General features: G+C 39.1%; 1 long non-coding RNA gene across 1 annotated transcript in view; it reads right to left on the minus strand.

The window, feature by feature from the left end:
• Positions 1-254: 254 nt before the first annotated feature.
• The window catches only part of LOC105372926 (uncharacterized), a 198,874-nt gene continuing 176,987 nt past the window's right edge, over positions 255-22,141 (minus strand). The window contains exon 6 of the long non-coding RNA XR_001738473.2: positions 255-562. This is a non-coding gene — a long non-coding RNA (uncharacterized LOC105372926). The remainder of the gene's footprint in view (positions 563-22,141) is intronic.

Consider the following 22,141-nt stretch of genomic DNA (forward strand, 5'->3'; position numbering starts at 1 on the left):
TTTCTCTGCATCTTTGCCAACATCTGTTGTTTTTTGACTTAATAATAGCCCTTCTTACTGGTATAACAGGGTATCTCGTTGTGGTTTTAATTTGTATTTCTCTGACAATTAGTGATGTTGAGCACTTTTTCATGTTTGTTGGCTACTTGTTTGTCTTCTTTTGAGAAAAGTCTGTTCATGTCAAACTGAGTCTGATGTTCTGATTTCACAAAATGAAGAAATGGATGTCCAGGGAGAAAAAGTAACTTTACACATTGCCATTAAATCTTTATTAGTTGGTTGAAATATTCACAAGTATAGAAAACAAGGCTCCTTGAGGAGCAAAGAACTGGGTACAAAAGAGTAGTAGCCATGGTGACCAGAAACCTTGGAATCATTTTTCACAGTTCAGCTTCCCAGTCCTCTACGTAAGCCCCACTAGGCACTATTTTTCTTACCATTATTTACCAGTGGGGAAACAGAGATGACTTTTCTCAGGGTTACTTGTGGATTGTTGTTGTCGAGAGCAAATTGGAGACTTCTAACATCTGGTCCAGCACTTTGCCACCACTTCACTTTTGTTCTGGAAAAGAGCCAAAATTAGCTCATTGTAAAGAAGTCACCAAGCTCTGATTTTTGTGCAAATAAACTTTATGGTTTGCCATTTAAAAAACTATTACTCCAAGATCAACTTTCAGAATTCAACAAAACGAGGACCCCTGTCTCTCAACACACTATCATGCCCCACAGATGACTAAAGAACACAGTGGGCTCGTGCTTTACATGAGGTAATGCCACATGGATCACACCCTGTCTGTTAGAAGGAAACACTAGAGGATGAGAGCCGATCAGGTTGCAGGCTCCAGAGACCTCCCATTCTTCTCTGTCGAAAGCCAAAGAAATGGCAAATTTAACCCAATTTGAAAATGATTTGAGTCCTCGCTGACCTGGGGAATTTCATTCAGCAGATAACTCCTTAATGCATATAAACAGGGTTGTATAAGCAAGACTGAGAGATTCCCACCATGAGCATTTTGATGTGAGTCTCTTGAGCTTGGGAATAAGTCTCAAATAACTCATCAATTAAGGAAGGAAAAAACTCTGAAGTTAGTTGTTTTGCATCAAGGAGACAGAACAACTGGTTGATTGTTAGATGTTTCTGCTTCTCCATTAGTCCTTCTGGTGTTTGAAGATGATGAATCAATAAAGAATCTGAGGGGCTCTCTGGAGTCTCAATGCATCTGTTATCAGAGCAGAGACTGGCAAAACTATGTAAAAGCCTGTGGAGCTATTCATAGATTCATGTCGGCTCATAAATGAGGAGCGGAATGACTGTACAAGTCAAAATATGATAGCCTCACAGGGTGCTGCTATTGAAATTGAGACATGTACATTAAAGTAATTAGTACACTGAAGTATTATTTGTTCCTAAGAAATGGGACTACGTAGCAGACTTTTAATTTCTTCTTATATGTCTCGGTATTTCCAAAGTTTCTGCAAATGTACAGCAAATTGCTTTTGTAAGAAGCTGAGCATAGTGATGCATGTCTGTAGTCTCAGCTACTCAGGAGGCTGAGATGGGAGGATCACATGAGCCTGGGAGCTCGAGGCCAGCTTGGACAACATAGTGAGAACCCATCTCATTTTTTGAAAAAATTAAAATTAAAAAATTAAAACTTTTATTTAAAGAAATAGCCTTCAGAGTTTAAAAAATAAAGATACTCTATATAAACTGAAATAGTGAGTGGAAAACAACAATGAAATCCAATGAATGTAAAGTTATGTGTTACGTATGCTTCAGAGAAGTCTCTGGCAAAACAGCAAGAGAAGCAAGTTCTAGCTGAAAAGTTTGTATTCAAGAGACAAAGAGAGCAAGAGAGAAAGGGAGGGAGAAAAGGAGTGTTTAAAAAGTAAACAAAAAGGAAGACTGTTAAAATGAGTTGACTCAAATTTCAAAATTAGCCTACAAGTTTGACCTGGCTATTAAAGGCCATGGCAGTTAATAGAATATGAGGTACCATTAGCACATCAAAGGAAGGAAGCTCCGTATCCTCTGCACCACTCAGCCCAATCTGTAGTACCACATTTTAAGAAAACTGTCAAAATGGATTGTATTTGGAAGAAAGCAACCTCGATGGTGAAAAAGGTCTGGAAAATGTCTTTAGAAAAGGATGGTTAAAGGAATTCAGCAAATTTAACTTGAAAACTGGATATATGCAGTAGCAATCAAATGTTGTGGACAGACTCAAAAAAGAAAAAAAAAAGGATCAGCCTAATTCTAGACTGGTTGTTCCTTAGACAATGAGTTTGTCTCTTCTGGGAATATGAAAGGCAATGGCGGGAAACACAGACCCTCAGTCCCTGGAGTGTTAAGGGGCAGCTCTCTAAAGAGAATGTTCACGAACCCTCCTGCTAAACTGAGGAGTAACAAGGTCCCTTTCTCTCTTGATTCTTATTGTTCAACATTGCCAGGCTCTCGAGATATCTTTGCAGTTGATTTTCACTTTATAACATTTTATAGTTAGCAAGAAATTAACTAACAAAGACTTTGGCTCTAAGAATCAGGCTAGATGCTGTTATTTAAGGGAGTGGTGCTTAAATGCGGCCAATTTAATGCGTTTATTTTGTGTACCAGTTAGGTCATTCATAGCTGCTGTAACAACAACAACAACAAAAACCCTGATATTTTATTGGCTTCCAAGGTTATCTTGGCCAGTGACTCCCTATCAGCAGATAAAGAAAGAAAAAGAGAATTGCACATGGGTGGTTTTTCTGAGCCACACCTGGAAATGTGCATACATCAGATCCACCCACTTTCTATTTGCCAGAACTCAACCATCTGCAATCCCAGGAGACACTCCCTGGAGAGAACTCCCTTTTCCATTGCTCTTGTAGGCCTTGTCTCTGATTTCAGAGAGGGACTTCCATACATGCTATCCTCCAAAACAACACAGGAAGTAGGAGAGCCTGGTCTTCTTAGAGACAGTACAATTTTCACAGTTCACTTCCCATTTGGCAGCCCAAGAGTTCTAAGATGTAAATCATTAAGGCTTTTTAGTTCAGACTTATGATTTCTTTAACAGTAGAATTCTCTTGAAACTTAATAGGCTATTGGGTTTTTTTTTTTCCTTAGAGACAAGGTCTTGCTCTGTCACTCAGGCTGGAGTGCAGTGGTGCAATCATAGCTCACTGCATCCTCAAACTCCTGGTCTCAAGCAATTCTCCCACCTCAGCCTCCCGAGCAGCTGGGACTTCAGGCATGCACCACCACACCTGGCTGATTTTTTTATTTTTATATTTTGTAGAGACGGGGTCTCGCTTTGTTGCCCCAGCTCATGTCTAACTCCTGGGCTGAAGTGATCCTCCCACCTTGGCCTCCCAAAGTGCTAGGATAACAAGCATGAGCCACTGTGCCTGGCCCTTAGTAGATTTTGTATCTATTTGTTCCAGACAAGTTCGTGTGCCAGTAAACACCCAAATTTGTTTTTGCTAGATATAATTCTGAAACCTGCTTTATCTTTCTGACTTGTTGCCACCCTCCCTCTCCTCACCATGCCTATTTCTCTCAAATTTCTAGACACCGGGTCTAGAAGCAATTGGCCTTTACAATGTCTTAAGCCCCCACATTTTGTTCCTACATTTTTTTTAAAATTTCTGCTTGTTAACCAGCCAGTTCTTGCCGCAGCTCATATCTTTCTTTGAATAACTAATCAATAATTAACACACTCTAATAATATTCCATTTTCCAATTTATTTTCCTAGAGCTGTATACTTTGTCTTCACTTTGTCTGTTTTCCGAGCTCTCATAGGATAATGGCTTTACCAAATGCATTGCCACCAAATAGGATGAGTCTTTATCTTTCCAGATTCCAATATCAATTACCCTACTGCCCATTGCCAGGAAACCAAATGCTAAGTCAGTGTCACATATTTTGACTTTGATGCTATCACATCACTTTTGATATCAAATTCTATATTACGTAAGGTGATCGTAGTTTTTTTATCCTCAAACATAGTGTATTTCATATTTTGCTGAGGAAAGTATCAATATGTCTTGAGAGAATTGATAAGCACAGTTTAAGAGTTAAAGATAACATGAATAATAAAATGATTACAGGATCTTTAGAATTTGAGCAAAGTGACAGTTCCAAATAAAATCTTAAATGTAGATAAGCATTGGCTCTAGAATTTCAGGAGACCACAGTTTTGCTATCTCGAAGAGCTAGTCTAATCCTGAAATCACACTTTATGAGCTGATTCTGCCTCTTTAAATTTGAATTGCATTTCAAGGTTTCAGAGAGCAGAAGTCATAGTGAACTGACTTCCCTAAAAATTCTGTCCAGCAAACTAATACTAAAATTTCACTCAGCTGTCATGAGGGAGTTAGTTAGAATAGCTTAGGTAGGAAAAAAATAAATAAAAGAAGAAAGGAAAAAAAACCTTACTTTTAATACTCCATTTCTATGCTATATAGAAGTTTAGGCGTGCCAATGTAAAACTTCAGCAACACAAGCAAAGATCAGCAACCAGGAAAGAAGGCAAAGAGACCCATGAATTACATGAAATGATGCTATTCTACCAACAAAGGAAAATATATGAAAATTTGCTCAAGTGTATCCTGGAAATCCTAAGCAGTCTGAATGCAGATGACCTACAAGCATTTTTGAACACTTACTATGTACCAGACATTAAACTAGATGGTAATATGTACATTAACTTATTTCATCCTTTGCAGTATACAGCACTGGCCTAACTTTTATAGTTAAAAACACTGAGAAGTTACATGATTTTCCAAAGTCTCAGCTAAGTTAGGAAGGCAAGGTCAGCATAATTTTAACCCTGCTCGTTTTAACTCTTGAATTTCTTTTTTCCTCTCTACCAGGCCCTTTATTGTTCATCCTTCTAGCATGCTTTGTCAGCTCATGAACTGGCACCTGATTTCCCCACCGTTTCCTATCCTTGGGATGTCACTGCCAGGGACATAAAGGTCAGGGTCTGTAACTTTCCCAAGGATCTTCTGCTTCTACTCAAACTGAAGTGAAAAACTCAGAATCAGATTTTCCCATAGCAACAACAACAAAAAAAAATACAAAGCCAAACCAATATGCAGTGAGAGAGGGTAGGAAGAGGGTTCCTGCTAAGAGATATCAAAAGAACACATTTTTAAATAACTTCCTTCCATACATTTTAATAAAGAAGTTACCTATATATTTTTAAACATTGTCTCTTACTTGAGTGGTGGAGGTGGGAAAGAGCAATAATGAAAAAATTCAACACCTTATAGTGTATCTTATGCCTTTCCACATGAAATCAAACTTCTATAGGAAAAGTTATCTCCCTCTTTATTGCAGAAGGTACAGTCACTTAAAGGCAGTATTACTTTTCCTATTTTTCTAAAAGCATTACAGCCAAGATATTCCAAATGGATTAATCTCTTGAAGCTGAACCCAGTGAAATATAAATGAGAAGCCATTTACAGAACTGGAAGTGTATGCCTGGTGCATTTTTCTCTTTAAAAATCTAACATAAAGTCTCAATTATGCAAGATGAATAAGTTCTAGAGATCTGCTGTACATCATCATGTCTATAGTTAACAATACTGTATTATACACATAAAAATTTGTTAAGAGCATAGATATCATGTTAAGTGCTCTTACCACAATAAAAAATATCCCAACATTGGATGAAATGAAGAAGGGTATATGTCAAAAATAGGTCAGGACATTCTTGCTTCGTAATTTGAGAGGTCTTAAGAATGTACTCTTAAGGAACCAATAATGACAGCCTGCCTAACTGGAAATCTTCCTCTTTATGTAATGATGAAAGGTTATTTTTAAAGAAGTTGGAATTAGATACTAAAGTAATCTTTTAACATCTTTTGTCAATGTAGGAGAGTTTCTAAGAGGTGAATGCCAGTCAATCACTTTTCATGTCTGTAGTGATAAAACAAAGGGAAGAGGTTTAAATTACACTTGAAGCGCTTTCGTATCAACCTAGGAGAGAGCCTTCTTGAGGTTGATAAAGCACTCATTTAGAATACTGAGAAATGTGGTAAAGCCTTTATGCTTAGAGATCAACAAAATTAAATAGGGCCAGGTGCAAGCTCATGCCTGTAATCCCAGAAGGTTGGAGGCTAAGGCAATAGGATCACATGAGACCAGAAGTTCAAAATCGACTGGGAAAACTAGCAAGACCCTGTCTCTACTAAAAATAAAAAAAAATCAGCCAGGCATGATGACATGCACCTGTAGTTCCAGCTACTTGAGAGGCTAAAGTAGGAAGATCACTTGAGCCCAGGAGTTTGAGGCTGCAGTAAGCTATAATCACACCACTGCCACTGCACTCCAGACTGGACGACAGAACAAGACCCCATCTCTTAAAAAACAATTTTACTAGATAAGCATCCTTCCCTAAAGTCATGGGGGCAAGAAAAAATGTTTTCATAAGGTTCTACCACCCAGCTCTAACTCCATAAAATGAGTATCTCCCAAAAGTTCATGAAAGCAGATGATTTTTTTAAATATATTTTCTTTGTAAAGTCAGGGCTGAAATTCAAACTTAAGACAGAATGGTTTTAATGTCTTTTTTGATTATACCGGAAAGTGATGAAATGGTCCTCTCTGAAAATAATTACTTACTTTAAAGATCAAATTTAAAATAATCACATCTATGGACCCCAGGAAGTAGGATTCATTCATGTTTCCCCTCAATGATGTGGAGCTGGCTCATATCAGGTCATAAGAGCCAACTGTGTGCATCTCTTCCCAACTCCACAAACAGTTTCTTCACAATGGTAGCTTGAAATCAGTTATAGTATCAATATTTATACCATGGAAATTAGCAAACACTAAAAAAGCAAAGGTCGGGCGGGGGTGTTCAGTGGCTGTTATTTTCCAGAAAGCTAGTTGTTAAATATTTTGCAGTGTATCACTGTTTCCTATTGCGTTTCAAAAGAGAAACATTAACTTCCTGCTTAGCAGAGATTCTACTGTACTACCTTTGGCAAATTACTTAATCCCTCTAAGTCCCTCTGCGTCCTCATTTTTGAAATAAAAATAATAATTCCTGCTTCACTGAATTGTTTTTAGCAGCAACTGGGTTGATTAGTGTGAAGTATTAAGCACAGTGCCTGCACTTAGGAAGGAGTTGGCTATAGTGACGATAGCGGTGGCACCAGGGTGATGTGCTAGTAATAGGCATCGTCATGGTGCCAGCAGTATCCATCTCATAGTCAGTGTTTCAAAAACTACTGTGGATATTGATTTTTAAGCACCATTATTGCAGATTTTGAGACGGATTCTAAGTTTCTGATACTCAAAACAAAATAGGTAGCATCAAGTTGAATAGAAATGATTTGCCTTCAAACTGCCTGAAATCCCTATCCTTTATAAATAATTGTATTTATCTGGGTCACTTAATTTTGTGTTTCTAAAATCACCAAATTGTATCACCTGAGGAATTGCCAGGGCAGAAGTATAAGAAACTTTATTCCTATCCCAGGCCTTTTAAATATATCTCAGTGGTTTTCAAACTTTCATATGAATCAGAATCATTTGGAGGGCTTGTTAAAGCACAGATTGTTGGACCCTACCCTCAGAGTTTCTGATTCAGTGAGTCCAAGGTGTCAGCTAAAGGGCTGAATTTCCAACAAGTTCCTAGGTGACGCAGATGCTACTAGTCCTAGACCCAAGCTTTGAGAACCACTGCTCTATTTCATCCTCCACTCTGAAATGGCCCATTATCTTTGTACCAAATTAGTGCTTGTTAGTGGCCCTTACCTTCAGGGTACTGGCTTTCCCAGGGGATACCCTGGTCTCTGTCAGTATGTTTGGCTGCATTTTGGGATTTAATCATCCCAAAATGTAGTCATTTAAAAAATTATTATTGTTGTTAATGAGTCTATGATTCAGCAAAATGTTTCTGATTTGAGCCAATTCAGTTGATATCCAGCTGGGCTTAATCATGCATCTGGGGTCAACTGGCCAAAGGCTGGCTGATCCCAGATTTTCTCACGTGTCTGATGGTTGACTGACTGTCCATTGTGGTGACAACAGTGACCAGGCCAAGTGTTGCTCATCATCTAGTAGGCCAGTGCAAGCTGATTTCTATGACAGTGATGAGATTCCAAGAAGAAAAACAGAAGCATTTTGGTCTCCTGAGACCTAGGCGTAACACTGTCATAATTTTATTCCCCCTGCATTCTGTTGGCCAAAGCAAGTCAAAAGACCAGCCCAAATTCCAGAGCTGAGGAACTAGATTCCATCCCTGATGAGAAGAGCTACAAACTCACTTTGCAAAGGATGTGGCTGAAGGGAAGGATGGAAAATAGGGATCATTTTGTGATAATTTCTCACAATCCCTTCTGCAAGTAAAACACTAGTTAACCCAGTTGATATGCTAAAAAATGGCCAGATACATCTAAATGCTAAGGTGAAAAACAGCTTGTATTCTCTAGCTGAGATTTCTACTATATAAATTACAGCTGTTTGAGTATGCATTACCTCTTCTTACGTCTGAGGATAACGAAAACATCCCCCAAAACATAGTTCTCCATACCATGTATTCCAGGGCCAAACTTCTGCTTCTCAGGTATAACTGGATCCTGTCGGCTCCTGCATGTGCCCAACAGACCACCTACCATTTGTTTAATCTTGAAAGAGGGTTGCTACATAATAGACTTACCACATAATTACAAAATATTTTCCCCAGATTCCTATATCTCCCTCCTCCAGTTTGCTCTTAAATGTATTTGTATTTTAATAACATTTTCCAAAGACACTGCACTAAAAAAAATTAGATGAGTGTTTCTAAAACAACACTTTGATCTTACTTCCCAGATGAAATCTCCCCAACTCCATTTAACTCTAATTTCATTTTAAAATGCCATGTATTGTTTCCTTAATAGAAAGAATGCCAACATTACCACAGGAAAAGGTCAAAGAGATGAGAAGACTCAGTGAGCCATGTCATATTTATGCTGCATGTGGATATTTTTTCTTCTTTATTTTTTTGCTATTGACATTAGCCTTTGAAAATGCTTTAACAAATTTAAAATTATAGTTGCCTATTGGGATTTATTAAAATATCTATGGAAGCCAGAACTCATTTTTAACACTTTATGCTCTTATAGGAAAATCCTCCCTAAGATCAGGCTCCAAATGGTAATATTATGGAAAAAATTCCATAAATGAATGAATATTGTATGTAGCAACCCTGGAAGTTTGCTGATGAATATTGCTAGAGTATCTACTGGAGCAAACCAATCTGTAGGATCTCTTCCCTTCCTTTCCTCCACGTTTCCCTTCCTGTATGCCTCCTTTTATACAAAGGTATATCAAGATTCATCTTTGATGAAAAAAAAATCACAAAAGAGCAATATATCTCCTGACACAGGAATCTGTGTAAATGGAGTGGATCGGTTCTTTCCATTTCACTTTGGTGAGAGTTAGAAGGGAATACATGAGCTCATTGTGTGTGTAGTGGATATGAGATTTCTTGGTTACAATGTTGCAAAAGTAAAGCTCTATTTTCTACCACTGATCTCTACTCTGGTTCCTCCATTACGGCTCAGAAACAGAAAAATCTAGTACAACATAATCTAACTCAAAACTCAATTTAAACTCAGTTATTTTTTAAAGGAGTTTTCAAAGCTTATTCTGCACTCCCACTCACATCACACTCTATGGAAGGCATGGAAAATTTGGACAATCAGGTACAACAAGTAAGTATATGGTGAACAAGACAGGGAGCGGGGTAGTATATTCTCATTCTTGGTATGATTTTGCTCATCTTCTCAGGTACATGGGCATTTGACTGTACATAAAGAATAAATACCTGATACAGACTCAGGCAAGTAGTGTTCGATAGCCACCCAACTGGGTCTCTGTGCAACTTCCTGGCCTGAATGATCCTATGGTAGCATGGACACAGCCCCCACCACCAGTGATCAGTCTCCTGCATAGACTTCATTCATGAAGTGTGCTCACTTTGCCTAGTGGCCTCTTGGATCCTGTTCACAGCTAATGTCTTTGCTTCATATTCTGAGTCCAAGGAAACTCATGGACACTTGCCATCCATGTAAGGAGCTCAGGTTATTAACTAGCCTACCTCTTATCAATTTCTGCCACGGTGCTTCTCAAGCTCCCCAACTTTATGGGGATATAGGCCCAGCATCTTTCCAATCTGTCCATGGAATAACATGTGTGTGTGTAGTGGTTTAAAATATTTAACTTTACATTAATTTTTAAACCACATTCACATGTTTATGCAGCCTAAGTAAAACTCAAAAGGAAAAATATTCCTGTAGTTATTGACCCAAGAAAATCCAAATCTATTAATATATGGAAAATGAGAATTAAAAATGAAAATTCAGGCTGGGCAATGTGGCCCATGCCTATGATCCCAATGCTTGGAGAGGCTGAGGCAGGAGGACTGCTTGAGCCCAAGAGTTCAAAACCAGACTGAGCAACGTCACAAGACCCTCGACTCTACAGAAAATTTAAAAATTAGCCAGGCGTGGTGGTGCACACCTGTAGTCTTAGCTACTCAGGAGCCTGAGATGGGAGGATTGCATGAGCCCAAAAGTTTGAGACTGTGGTGAGCTATGATTGTACCACTGCACTCCAGCCCACGTGACGGAGCAAGAACCTGTCTCTAAAGAGAGAGAAAGAGAGATAATTCACCTTATATATTAGGTATGAAAAATTGGCCAGGCACGGTGGCTCATGCCTGTAATCGCAACATTTTTGGAGGCCTAGGCAGGTGGATCACTTGAGGTCAGGAGTTTGAGATCTGCCTGGCCAATATGGTGAAACGCTACCTTTACTAAAAATACAAAAATTATCTGGGCATGGTGGCGGGCACCTGTAATCCCAGCTACTTGTGAGGCTGAGGCAGGAAAATCGCTTGAACCTGGGAGGGAGAGGTTGCAGTGAGCCGAGATCAAGGCACTACACTCCAGTTGAGGTGACAAAGTGAGATTCTGTCTCCAAAAAAAGAAAGAAAAGGGAAAAATTGACCCCCAAATTGACCAAACCAATGTTTATGACTGGACAAAATGTCCTAATTTTTCCTTAACAGATTCACACATAAATTTAAATTACACAATAAGAATTCCTCGTGTACTTAAATTGGTCATGGTAGGCAGGTGAGTAGGAGTTCTGCAAAGAGATAACTGCATCAATAAGCTTGAAATATGTTTAATTAAAGGATTTTCCTCTGCTATGAATTTCAGACCCTATAGTCTATAGATTCAGCTCTACTGTAATTGCTCTGAGAGTAATCATGATCTCTCTCTAGAGAGACAGTAAGCTTCACTGGGACAGGTACATTGTCTCATATTTCTTCAGATGCCTCAGCAAAAAATATAAAATTGAACACATACTAAGTGAATTCATAAGTATTGATGATTGCTTGATTAATTGAGAACCTAAAATTCAGAAAATTCCTGTAGGAAAAAGACATCTTTTGTTAGGATGATCTTATATCTGGATCATATTCTTCCTCAGTCAACGCTTCATCTCTGAATTTATGAAAAAGATATTTCCACATTTGTGGAATTGGATTAAGATAAGAGAACATAGTTGATGAGTGCTACATTTTTAAAGAAAATATGTTAACCCCACAGCCATGAAAGCTCTTATCCGTGACAGGAAGATTGATTAGACCATATCAATGAGCTATTGGGAAGGTAAGAATAATAAATAATAAATAAATAAAAGATCCTTTCAACAAAACAGAAAGCTGCAAATATATAACAATGCATAGTTTATTTCCTTTTATGTGTTAGAAGTTTGTGAAACAAAATGACAAATTTTTTGTAACATAGACAGAGCTGCAAACTTGGGAAGCAAACCTCTTTGTAGCAACCATTAAAATCACTATAAATTTTTAGCATACTCTGGAGCGGTGTTTCCCAGTGAGTTTTGTTTAAAATATTAATAGTCATTACGTGGACCAAAAAAAAGCCCAGTGTCAAATAATTCGGGAAATACTGGATTAAATAAAATTAAACAGGTTTCTTAAGTGCAGGACTTCTCAAAGCCTTACCTATGCTAATGAGCATAATGAATCTGAGAGACAGAGTTATAATGAGTACAATTCCAAAACTTAAGAAATACTGTCCCTCAGAAGGAAAAGGTTTGCATTTCTGAAGAAAAATAAATGCATTTGCAAGACCTAGACATTTAAAATAGTGAACATGGTTCAAACATGCATCAAAGGATTGATTTTAATACTTTTAGGTATCTTTTAGGTATTAAGTCCATCTAAACGGTTTGAATCCATCTGTCAAATAGCAGAATCTACACTATTCTAAACATTTACCATTTGTAAATATCTGGATACTTGGCTTTCTTTAAATAAAAAAGCTTAGCTGGTGGGCCGAACTTTTCACTGTAGTCACAGGCACAATCTATATAATAGGTATCATTTTTAAAAAGAAAGAAAAAAGTCATAGTTTCTACTATGTAAGGTTTATTTATTTATTCACTCAACAAGTATTTACTGAGCACCTACTGTGTACTAGGCATCCTTCCAGGGCTGAGGCTACAGTGGTGAGGAGGAAGGGACCCAGGGAAGATATAAATAATACATAAGGAAGCAAGATAATTTCAAATGATCCATGAATTTAATAGAACAGGGCTACAAAGAGAGAGAAACCAGATGGATACTTTCGTTTGAATGATCAGGGAATGTGTTGCTGTGGAGGTCATAATTTATATGCAACTGAATGATTCATATGAGACAACCAGCAAAGATATGGGGAAGAATATTCCAGCCAGATGAAACAAATGTCAAGCCCTAAGGTAGAAACATGCTTGGCATTTCCAAGGATCAAATAATCTGGCTGTGTGGCAAGGGCATAGTAGGGAGAGGCAGATGATAGGTACTGATTTAACAGGCTATGTGAGAGTACCCTAGGATTCTACAGGACCCACAGTAAGTGCTCAATTTGTTAAGGCAATGATGATGATGATGATGACGACGATGACAATGACAATGATGTTTTAGAAATAGAAATAAAATAGAATAAACTCTCTCTCTCTCTCTCTCTCTCTCTCTCTCTCTCGCGCGCGCGCGCGCGCGCGCGCGTTTTTGTTTTTGTTTGTTTGTTTTTTTGAGATGGAGTCTTGCTCTGTCACCTAGGCTGGAGTACAGTGGCATGATCTCAGCTCATTGCAACCTCTGCCTCCCAGGTTCAAGCTATTCTCCTGCCTCAGCCTCCTGAGTAGCTGGGACTACAGGCATGCACCACCACGCCTGGCTAATTTTTGTATTTTTAGTAGAGATGGGGTTTCACCACATTGGCCAGGCTGATTTCAAACTCCTGACCTCAGGTGATCTGCCCACCTCAGCCTCCCAAAGTGCTGGGATTATAGGTGTGAACCAAACTCTCTCAAATGTCAATGTCAGGAAATACTTTTGAGTAAACTTAGAGTTAAAATAAATGCCAGTGGTTCTTGACCTTTCTGTCATGATATACATTATATAAGTATTAGTCAAGGGAAGTAACACTAATAAATAACAATTCATTTCTCTTAATGAATGAGAAATCACAATCTGAGAATCACAATCTGCTTTGATTTCACAGCTCTCCCCTGAGTGGTGATGGAAACAGCCTGAAAGAGAGATTCAGGCTCTTTTCATCATGCTGCTCTGCCATCTTGGAACCCTCCATTTCTTGTCCCAAGCAAACAGGAAAGAGAAGAGAGAGTAAGGAAGGTACACCAGATACCTCATGATCTCCTAAAAGTAATATACACATTTCCTGCTCACACTTCACTGGTGTGCATTAGTCACATGATCCTATCTAGATCCAAGGGCTGGGAAACATAGTCTTTCCGTGCACCACATAGGGAAAAGAAACAGTTTAGTGACTCCCTATAAGCACATTACACTGCCTTTGCCACAATATGCTTAATGTTATGGGCAGAGCCAGATTTTGAAAAAAAAAATTCACCCTCAAATTGGAAGAGAAGTATAACAAAGAGTGCAGCAAACTTTCTGAGAGATTTAAAAATCTCTCACTTCAGGCTGTGAAAACACCAGACAGATTCTGGGTTATCTTAACCTTTTCTTCCCATTCAAGAAAAGTTTATCCAATTCTCAGTGATGGCCTTGAATTGGGCTGTAAACTATCTTTGTAATAAATTATTGGAAAGCTGTTTTAACTCTTTGTGAAAAAGCCTCAGGATGGTTTGCTACACAGTGTTGTGGGTAAACATCATGGTTAGGAGCCGCTAAATGTATCATATCATAGCATAATACACACACCAAACATAAAAGACTGTACTCATCACTGTCCAGTTCATTTGCCCATTCTTTCAATGATCACTTACTAAGCACCCACTATGTGCCTTTGGCAGTCATCTCAGGACCTTCATGGCTCAGGAACAGTTTTATCATCCTCATTCTGGAAGTCCAACCAGACTCCCTTCCCTGAGGCTTTCCCTCACGCTCCAAGAGGGTAGGAAGTGAGAGGTGAAGAGACAGAAGGCTTTTGTAGACTTCCAGGTCTGAGGCAACTGTGGAAATGCAAGTGGAGAGAAGATGTGGGCACCATTGCATTGGGAAAGAAGAAAACAGAGGACAATATGTAGGAACACAACATTTTTGAAGCAGTGGGACATTGCAACAGGAAAGTTATTTCATCTCCCTCGGCCTCAGTTTGCTTAACCATGAAATAAGTGTCAGGGTTGTGATGAGGATTAAATGAAAAAATGCATATAGACACTTATGCCAGTGCCTATTTTCTAAATACATAGTAGGGTAAATGGAGGATCTAGGTAGGAATCCAGGAAACATGTTCCGTGGGATTAGCTGAGGTAACTGATAAACACCGTCCAAGAGCAAACCAAAGGAAGGATGACTAACATGATGATGTGAACAGATTGTGGAGAAACCACAAGGAGATAACTTGGTGAATGTTTTGCTTGGGGTGAGGACAGACAGGGAGTAAGGGGAGAAGCGGGAACACAGCTGCCCTGCAGGAGAGCTCCAGGCTTGACCCATTGTGCTCCATCCCCATCACGCTGCTGAAAGGAGCCTTCTCTGAGTGAGGGCCTCCCACTCCCTGATTTGACCCAGTCCTGCCAGGATTTCTGATATAACGCAGCAGCTACACAACCCATAGCCTGTGGCCAGAGCACCCTGTAAGGGGAGGAAGAGACAGAGCCTATTAAGAAAAAAACGGAGAACATAAAAGAAAATTGGGGCCAATTGCTGTGGCTCACACCTGCAATCCCAGCACTTTGGGAGGCCAAGACAGGAGGATCACATGAGGCAAGGAGTTCAAGACCAGCCTGGGCTACATTGTGACACTTTATCTCTACAAAGAAAAATTAATAATAATGATAATAATTTTTTATTGAAAAGAAAATGGGGTGCAAGGAGAAACCAAGTGTGTTGATGTTAGCTATATTAGGTGCCTGGAATCAGAAAAGGCAGGACACTGAAGTCTAGACAGTCTGCCATTAAACTAAACTTAATTAGTATAATTAAATACAAGTTAATGCATACATATAATTAATGTATACTAATTAAGTCATAGTACCATGCAAAGCCTGCTGATTGATGGGCTAGATTAGCAATTCAAGTCATTAGCAAGAACAAAATTCTAGCATGCAAGACAGATTGTCCTTAGAAGTTAAGCAGGTATTATTCTAATCCTTGGAATCTCACATTGCCAAATTTATTTCAAAAGTCATTAACTAATTTTTAACATTCTGGTTCTGAGAAAAGAAAACATATCAAAACGTATCCATTGTTCAGGAGACATCAGCCACAATGAACAAGCCCAGCTTTATAGCCCGTGGTATCTCCCCATCAAGTTTCTGAAATCTTGTTTGTTTCACTCTTTGTTTTGAGCCCTGTGATTCTAGGTCTATATATCCCAGAGAAGGGTAGCACATTAACCCGTTATCAGCTGTTATAAACTAAACACAGGCTATTGTATCAAAAATAACTAGAGATCACTTTAGAATGGAGAGTAGAGCTTCGAGGGAATGAGATGCTGTACAAACTTCCCTACAGGAAGATCGCAATGCACCCAGACAATGGCTAAAGGGGAAGAATTTCAGCCCAGAATCCAGAGGAGAGCATTAGCACCTTGGGTAGAGAATGAACATAATGGCATGAAGAAGACCTCAAAGGCAAACCTCCTCTGTAACTGTGTGTGAGCCAAGACTATACAAGATAGATGAACACAGGCAGTCTGTGAAAACTGAGTTCAGATCCTGCAGCAAGAACTGGATGATACAACACAGGAGAGATATGACTCCACATGTAGGCCTAAGTATGCTCTATTCCATTGGGAAGGTCAATATTTTTATTCAATTACATCAGAATGCTTTGGGTCCCATCCTATAAATATGTAGAATCCTCCTGAGGGTTGTTAACCTTTGTTATCTTTATCAGAATGTTTCCAGGCTGGTGAACATTTTGGTGAGTCCAGAACCTTTTAAAATCTTTCTGCAAGTCTGATTACATCCATCTGGCCCTGATTAATATACAATTAACCTGCCAAGCGCTGTCTCAGAACCGCAGAGTCCAAGCCATCTCTGAGCCATCATCTTGCTAAAACTGGATATTACAAGAGCATATGAGGCCAACAAGAGTACAAAGGAGGGTGGTATAACTGAGGGCTGGAGGCGTCAAGAGAGTCCTTGAAGTAAAGGGAATGTGGGCCAAGCTGGAAGGAAGCCAGAATTTATATTCCTTTGGAGCCACCCCAGTGTTTAACAAATAATAGATACGTAATAACTATGTGTTGATTGAAAAGGGGGCTAATGAGGACTCATACACTTCACAATAAATTACCAAGGGCAACATCCCCAAGATTTTAGTTAGTGGAAGCATTCATTAAACATCCTTTCAAGGTTTTGGGACCCCACATGTCCCCAGTGAGAAACTGTGCCTTCCTGAGCATCTAGCAAGCTGCTGGGGAGGAATTTGGAAGCCCTGACATTCCCAATCACTTCTGATAGAGGCTTTTGTCCAAATCAGTTTGTGTACACGTGGATAGTGAAAAATCTTCTCTTTATATGTGGAGAGGCAGGAAGAAGAAGACATAAGAATTGATTGTTTGATTAAATTTGTTATGTTTACTTGTGGGTTGTTGTTTCTTTTATTCTTCTGATTTCAGTCCAACATATTTGGGTGGGGCCGGCATTCAGCCTCAGTATGCTGTACCCAAAGCATTAGAGGGGGAAAAGGAAGTAGTATATTCAGGGACAAAGACAAGTCCAGCAGGATGTGATGATGTTTGAGCACCTACTTTCTCAATTTTTAATAAGCTATTTTGTTATTTCATAAAAATACAGTATATTTCAGCCTTTGGTTTTTAAAGAGAAATAGATGTTTTCTGAAGACTCAACATTCAATGGTTCTCTCTTTTCTCCTTGAGACTGACAAATTCGTCCCCTTTGATGTCATCAGTGGCTTTGGCCCATGATGACTTTCCTTTTCCCCATCCTCCATGGATGGCTCCTCTTCCTGGATCTCTGCCTAGGCTTCTGCCTTCAATCTCTTCTCTTCTTATACTGCATAATCTTCCTTGCTTATCAGGTATATTACATTACCACATATGTGGTCATTTCTTATAGACTGATGACTCACAAGTCTATATCTTTACCCAGATCATACTCTGGAACTCTAAATGATTACTGGACATATCATGTTCAACTTGAAGACATTCCTCCCTTACCCATGCATTTTCCTGTTTTTCCAGTTTCAGAGAATATAAAATAGTTATCTACCCATCATCCAAACCAGATACCTACAAACATATCCTTTCTTTCTCTCTCACTTCCCATTCCCAGCATATCACCAAGCCCTATTAATGCTGACAGTTAGATGTCTCTCAGAGCTATCCACTTCCCTCCGTCTTTAATGTCACTACCCTAGCTCCAGCTGCCCAAGTCTCACCATGACAACCACAGCAGGCTTGATGGATCTCCCACAAGGCTCCACTCTCGTTCTCTCCAATCCATTCTCTATGCTGCAGCCAACGTGATCTTTATAAAATTAATACAGTCCAAATAAGGTCAGATCACACACACACACACACACACACACACACACACACCACTTTGCTTAAACCTCATATTTGCCCTGAGGATAGATGCCAAAATACTTTGCACAGCCTTCATGGCCCTGTGTGGCTGCCTTCTACCTCCTCTCCAGCTGTCCCTCACACCACTCCCTACTTTTTCTTTATATTCCAGCTCCTCTGTTCTTTTTTCAGTTCCTCACTCTTGTACTTCCCACAACCACAAGGCCTTTGTCCATGCTGGCTCTGCCTGTAATTCTCTCCTCCACCACAACAACCCTTCCAGCATCGATTTTATTTCCGTCTACCCTTAGGATCCCAATTTAAACCTCTCTTCCTCGCAGCAATCTCCCCTTAACTGTGGACTAGGTGAGGCTCTCTGTTATACATACACAATCCATACCATCCTGCCCCCATATTTCAGACCACTTATGATTTTATATTTATTTGCGATTATTTGACTTTTAAGTCCCCTACCAAAATATAATATCCATGAACAGAGACTACCTCTGTTTTATTTACCATTACTTCTCCAGAGCATAGCATAGTGCCTGGTACATTGTAACTAACTAAAAAATATGTGATGAATAAATGAATGAATACTGTATTCTTCCTCCAAACAATATGTAGCCAAGTTTTTTTTTTCCAAGTCTACCTCCTTAACATCCCTCATATTTATCTCTGCTTCTCCTTCCCTAGTTCTCCTCATTCACAGCTTAACAACTTCTCACCTGTCTATTACAGAGGTCTCCCAGAGGCTTCGTACACCTGCTCTCCTGATACAGGTACATCTCTTTTTATTGCACTTCCCAGATACTGAGGTTCTGTTGTTGTTGTTTTGTTTTGTTTTTGCTTTACAAACTGAAGATTTGCAGCAACCCTGTGTAAAGCAATTCTATAGACACCAGTTTTTCAACTGCATGTGCCCACTGCATGTCTCTGTGTCACATTTTGGTAATTCACAAAATATTTCAAACGTTTTCATTATTATTATCTCTGTTATGGTGATCTGTAATCCGTCATTTTTGATGTTACTATTGTAATTGTTTTGGGGCCCCACAAACCACACAAATCAATCAATGTTGTATGTGTTCTGACTGCTCCACCAACTGGCCATTCCCCTCTCTCCCTCTCCACAGGCCTCCCTTTCCCTGAGACACAATAATATTGAAATTAGGCCGATTAATTATTTTGCATTGGCCTCTAAAGTTCAAGTAAAAGGAAGAGTCACACGTCTCTCACTTTAAGTAAAAAACTAGGAATGATTAAGTTTAGTGAGGAAGGCATGTCGAAAGCTGAGATAGGCCATAGGCCAAAAGCTAGGCCTCTTGTCAAACAGTTAGCCAAGCTGTGAATGCAAAGGAAAAGTTCTGTAAGGAAATTAAAAGTGCTACTCCAGTGAACACACAAATGATAAGAAAGCAAAACAGCCTTATTGCTGACATGGAGAAAGTTTTAGTGGTCTGAACAGAAGATCAAACCAGCCACAACATTCCCTTAAGCCAAAGCCTAATCTGGAGCAAGGTCTAAACTCTCTTAGATTCTATGAAGTCTGAGAGAGACAAGGAAGCTGCAGAAGAAAAGCTAGCAGAGGTTGGTCCATGAGGTTTAAGGAAAGAAGCCATCTCCATAACATAAAAGTGTGAGTGCTGATGGAGAAGCTGCAGCAAGTTATCCAGATCTAGCTAACGTAATTAAGGAAGATAGCTACACTAACAACGGATTTTCAACACAGATAAAACAGTCTTCTATTGGAAGAAGATGCCACTGGGGACTTTCACAGATAAAGAGGAGTCAATACCTGGCTTCAAAGCTTCAAATAATGGGCTAACTCTTTGATTAGGGACTAATGTAGCTGGTGACATTAAGTTGAAGCCAAAGCATATTCACCATTTTGAAAATCCTAGGGCCCTTAAAAAATATGCTAAATCTACTCTGTCTGTGCTCTATACATGGAACAAGGCCTGGATGACAGCACATCTGTTTACAGCATAGTTTACCAAATATGTTAAACACACTATTAGGACCTATACTCAGGAAAAAAAATAAAAAACACATTCCTTTCAAAAGATTACTGCTCATTGACCATGTGCTTGGTCACTCAGGAGCTCTGATGGAGAGGTATAAGGAGATGAATGTTGTTTTCATGTTTACTAGCAACATCCATTCTGTTGCCTATGGATCAAGAAGTAATTTTGACTTTTAAGTCTTATTATTTAAGAAATATATTTTGTAAGCGTATAGCTGCCATAGATAATTATTCCTCGGCTAGAACTGGGCAAAGAAAGTTGCAAACCTCTGGAAAGAATTCGCCACTCCAGATGCAATTAGGAACATTTGTGATTCATGGGAAGAGGTCAAAATATCAACATTAGCAGGAGTTTGGAAGAAGTTGATTCCAACCCTCATGGTGACTTTGAGGGGTTCAAGACTTCAGTGGAGGAAGTCACTACAGATGTAGTGGAAATAGCAAGAGAACTAGAATTAGAAGCGGGGCCTAAAGATGAGACTGAATTGCTAGAATCTTATGTTAAAACTTTAATGGATGAGGAGTTACTTCTTATGAAGGAGGAAAGAAAATAGATTTTTGATCTAGGCAATGCCATTTGGGACATAGGCATGGGCAAAGATTTCATGATGAAAATGCCAAAAGCAATTGCAACAAAAGTAAAAATTGACAAATGGTTCTACTTAAATTAAAGAGCTTCTGCACAGCAAATGAAACTATCATCAGAGTGAACAGACAATCTACAGAATGGGAGAAAATTCTTGCAATCTATCTGTCTGACAAAGGTCTAATATTTAAAGTCTACAAGGAACTTAAACAAATTTACAAGGAAAAAAGCCCCATTAAAAAGTGGGCAAAGGACATGAACAGACATTTCTCAAAAGAAGACATTCATGAGGCCAACAAACATATGAAAAAAAGCTCAACATCACTGATCATTAGAGAAATGCAAATAAAAACCACAATGAGATACCAGCTCATGCCAGTCAGAATGGCGATTATTAAAAAGTCAAGAAACAACAGATGCCGTGAGGTTGCAGAGAAGAAGGAATGCTTTTACACGGTTGGTAGGAGTGTAAATTAGTTCAGCCATTGTGGAAGACAGTGTGGCAATTCCTTGAAGACCTAGAACCAGAAATACCATTTGACCCAGCAATCCCATTATGGGATATATACCCAAAGGAATATAAATCACTCTATTATAAAGATACATGCACGAATATGTTCATTGCAGCACTATTCACAATAGCAAAGACATGGAATCAACCCAAATGCCCATCAATGATGAACTGGATTGTCTAACTGTGGTACATATATACCATGGAATACTATGCAGCTATAAAAAGGAATGAGATCATGTCCTTTGCAGGGACATGGATGGAGCTGGAAGCCATTATCTCCAGCAAACTAATGCAGGAACAGAAAATCAAACACCACATGTTCTCACTTATAAGTGGGAGATGAACAATGAGAACACATGGACACAGGGAGGGGAAAAACACACCCTGGGGCCTGTCACAGGGTTGGGGGCCAGAGGAGGGAGAGCATCAGGAAGAATCGCTAATGGTTGCTGGGCTTTATACCTAGGTGATGGGATGATCTGTGCAGCAAACCACCATGGCACACGTTTACATATGTAACAAACCTGAACATCCTGCACATGTATCCCAGAACTTAAAATAAAAGTTGAAGAAACAAAAGAAAGTAGATTTTTGAGGTACAGTCTACTTCTAGTGAAGATGCTGTGAACATTGTTGAAATGACAACAAAAGATTTAGAATATTCCATAAACTTAGTTGATAAAGCAGCTTCAGGGTTCCAGAGGATTGACTCCAATTTTGAAAGTTCTACTGTGGGCAAACTGCTATCAAATAGCATCACAAGCTACAGACAAATTTTTCATGAAAGGAAGAGTCAATTGATGCATCAAACTTCAATTTTGTCTTATTTTAAGAAACTGCCTCAGCCATCCCAGCCTTCTGCAACCACCACCCTGATCAGTCAGCAGCCATCAACATTAAGGCAAGACCCTCCATCAGCAAAAAAGATTACAACTCGCTAAAGGTTCAGGTGACTGTCAGCATTTTTTTTTTTATTATACTTGA

This window comes from Homo sapiens, chromosome 1, assembly GCF_000001405.40.
Source record: "Homo sapiens chromosome 1, GRCh38.p14 Primary Assembly".
NCBI lineage: Eukaryota > Metazoa > Chordata > Mammalia > Primates > Hominidae > Homo > Homo sapiens.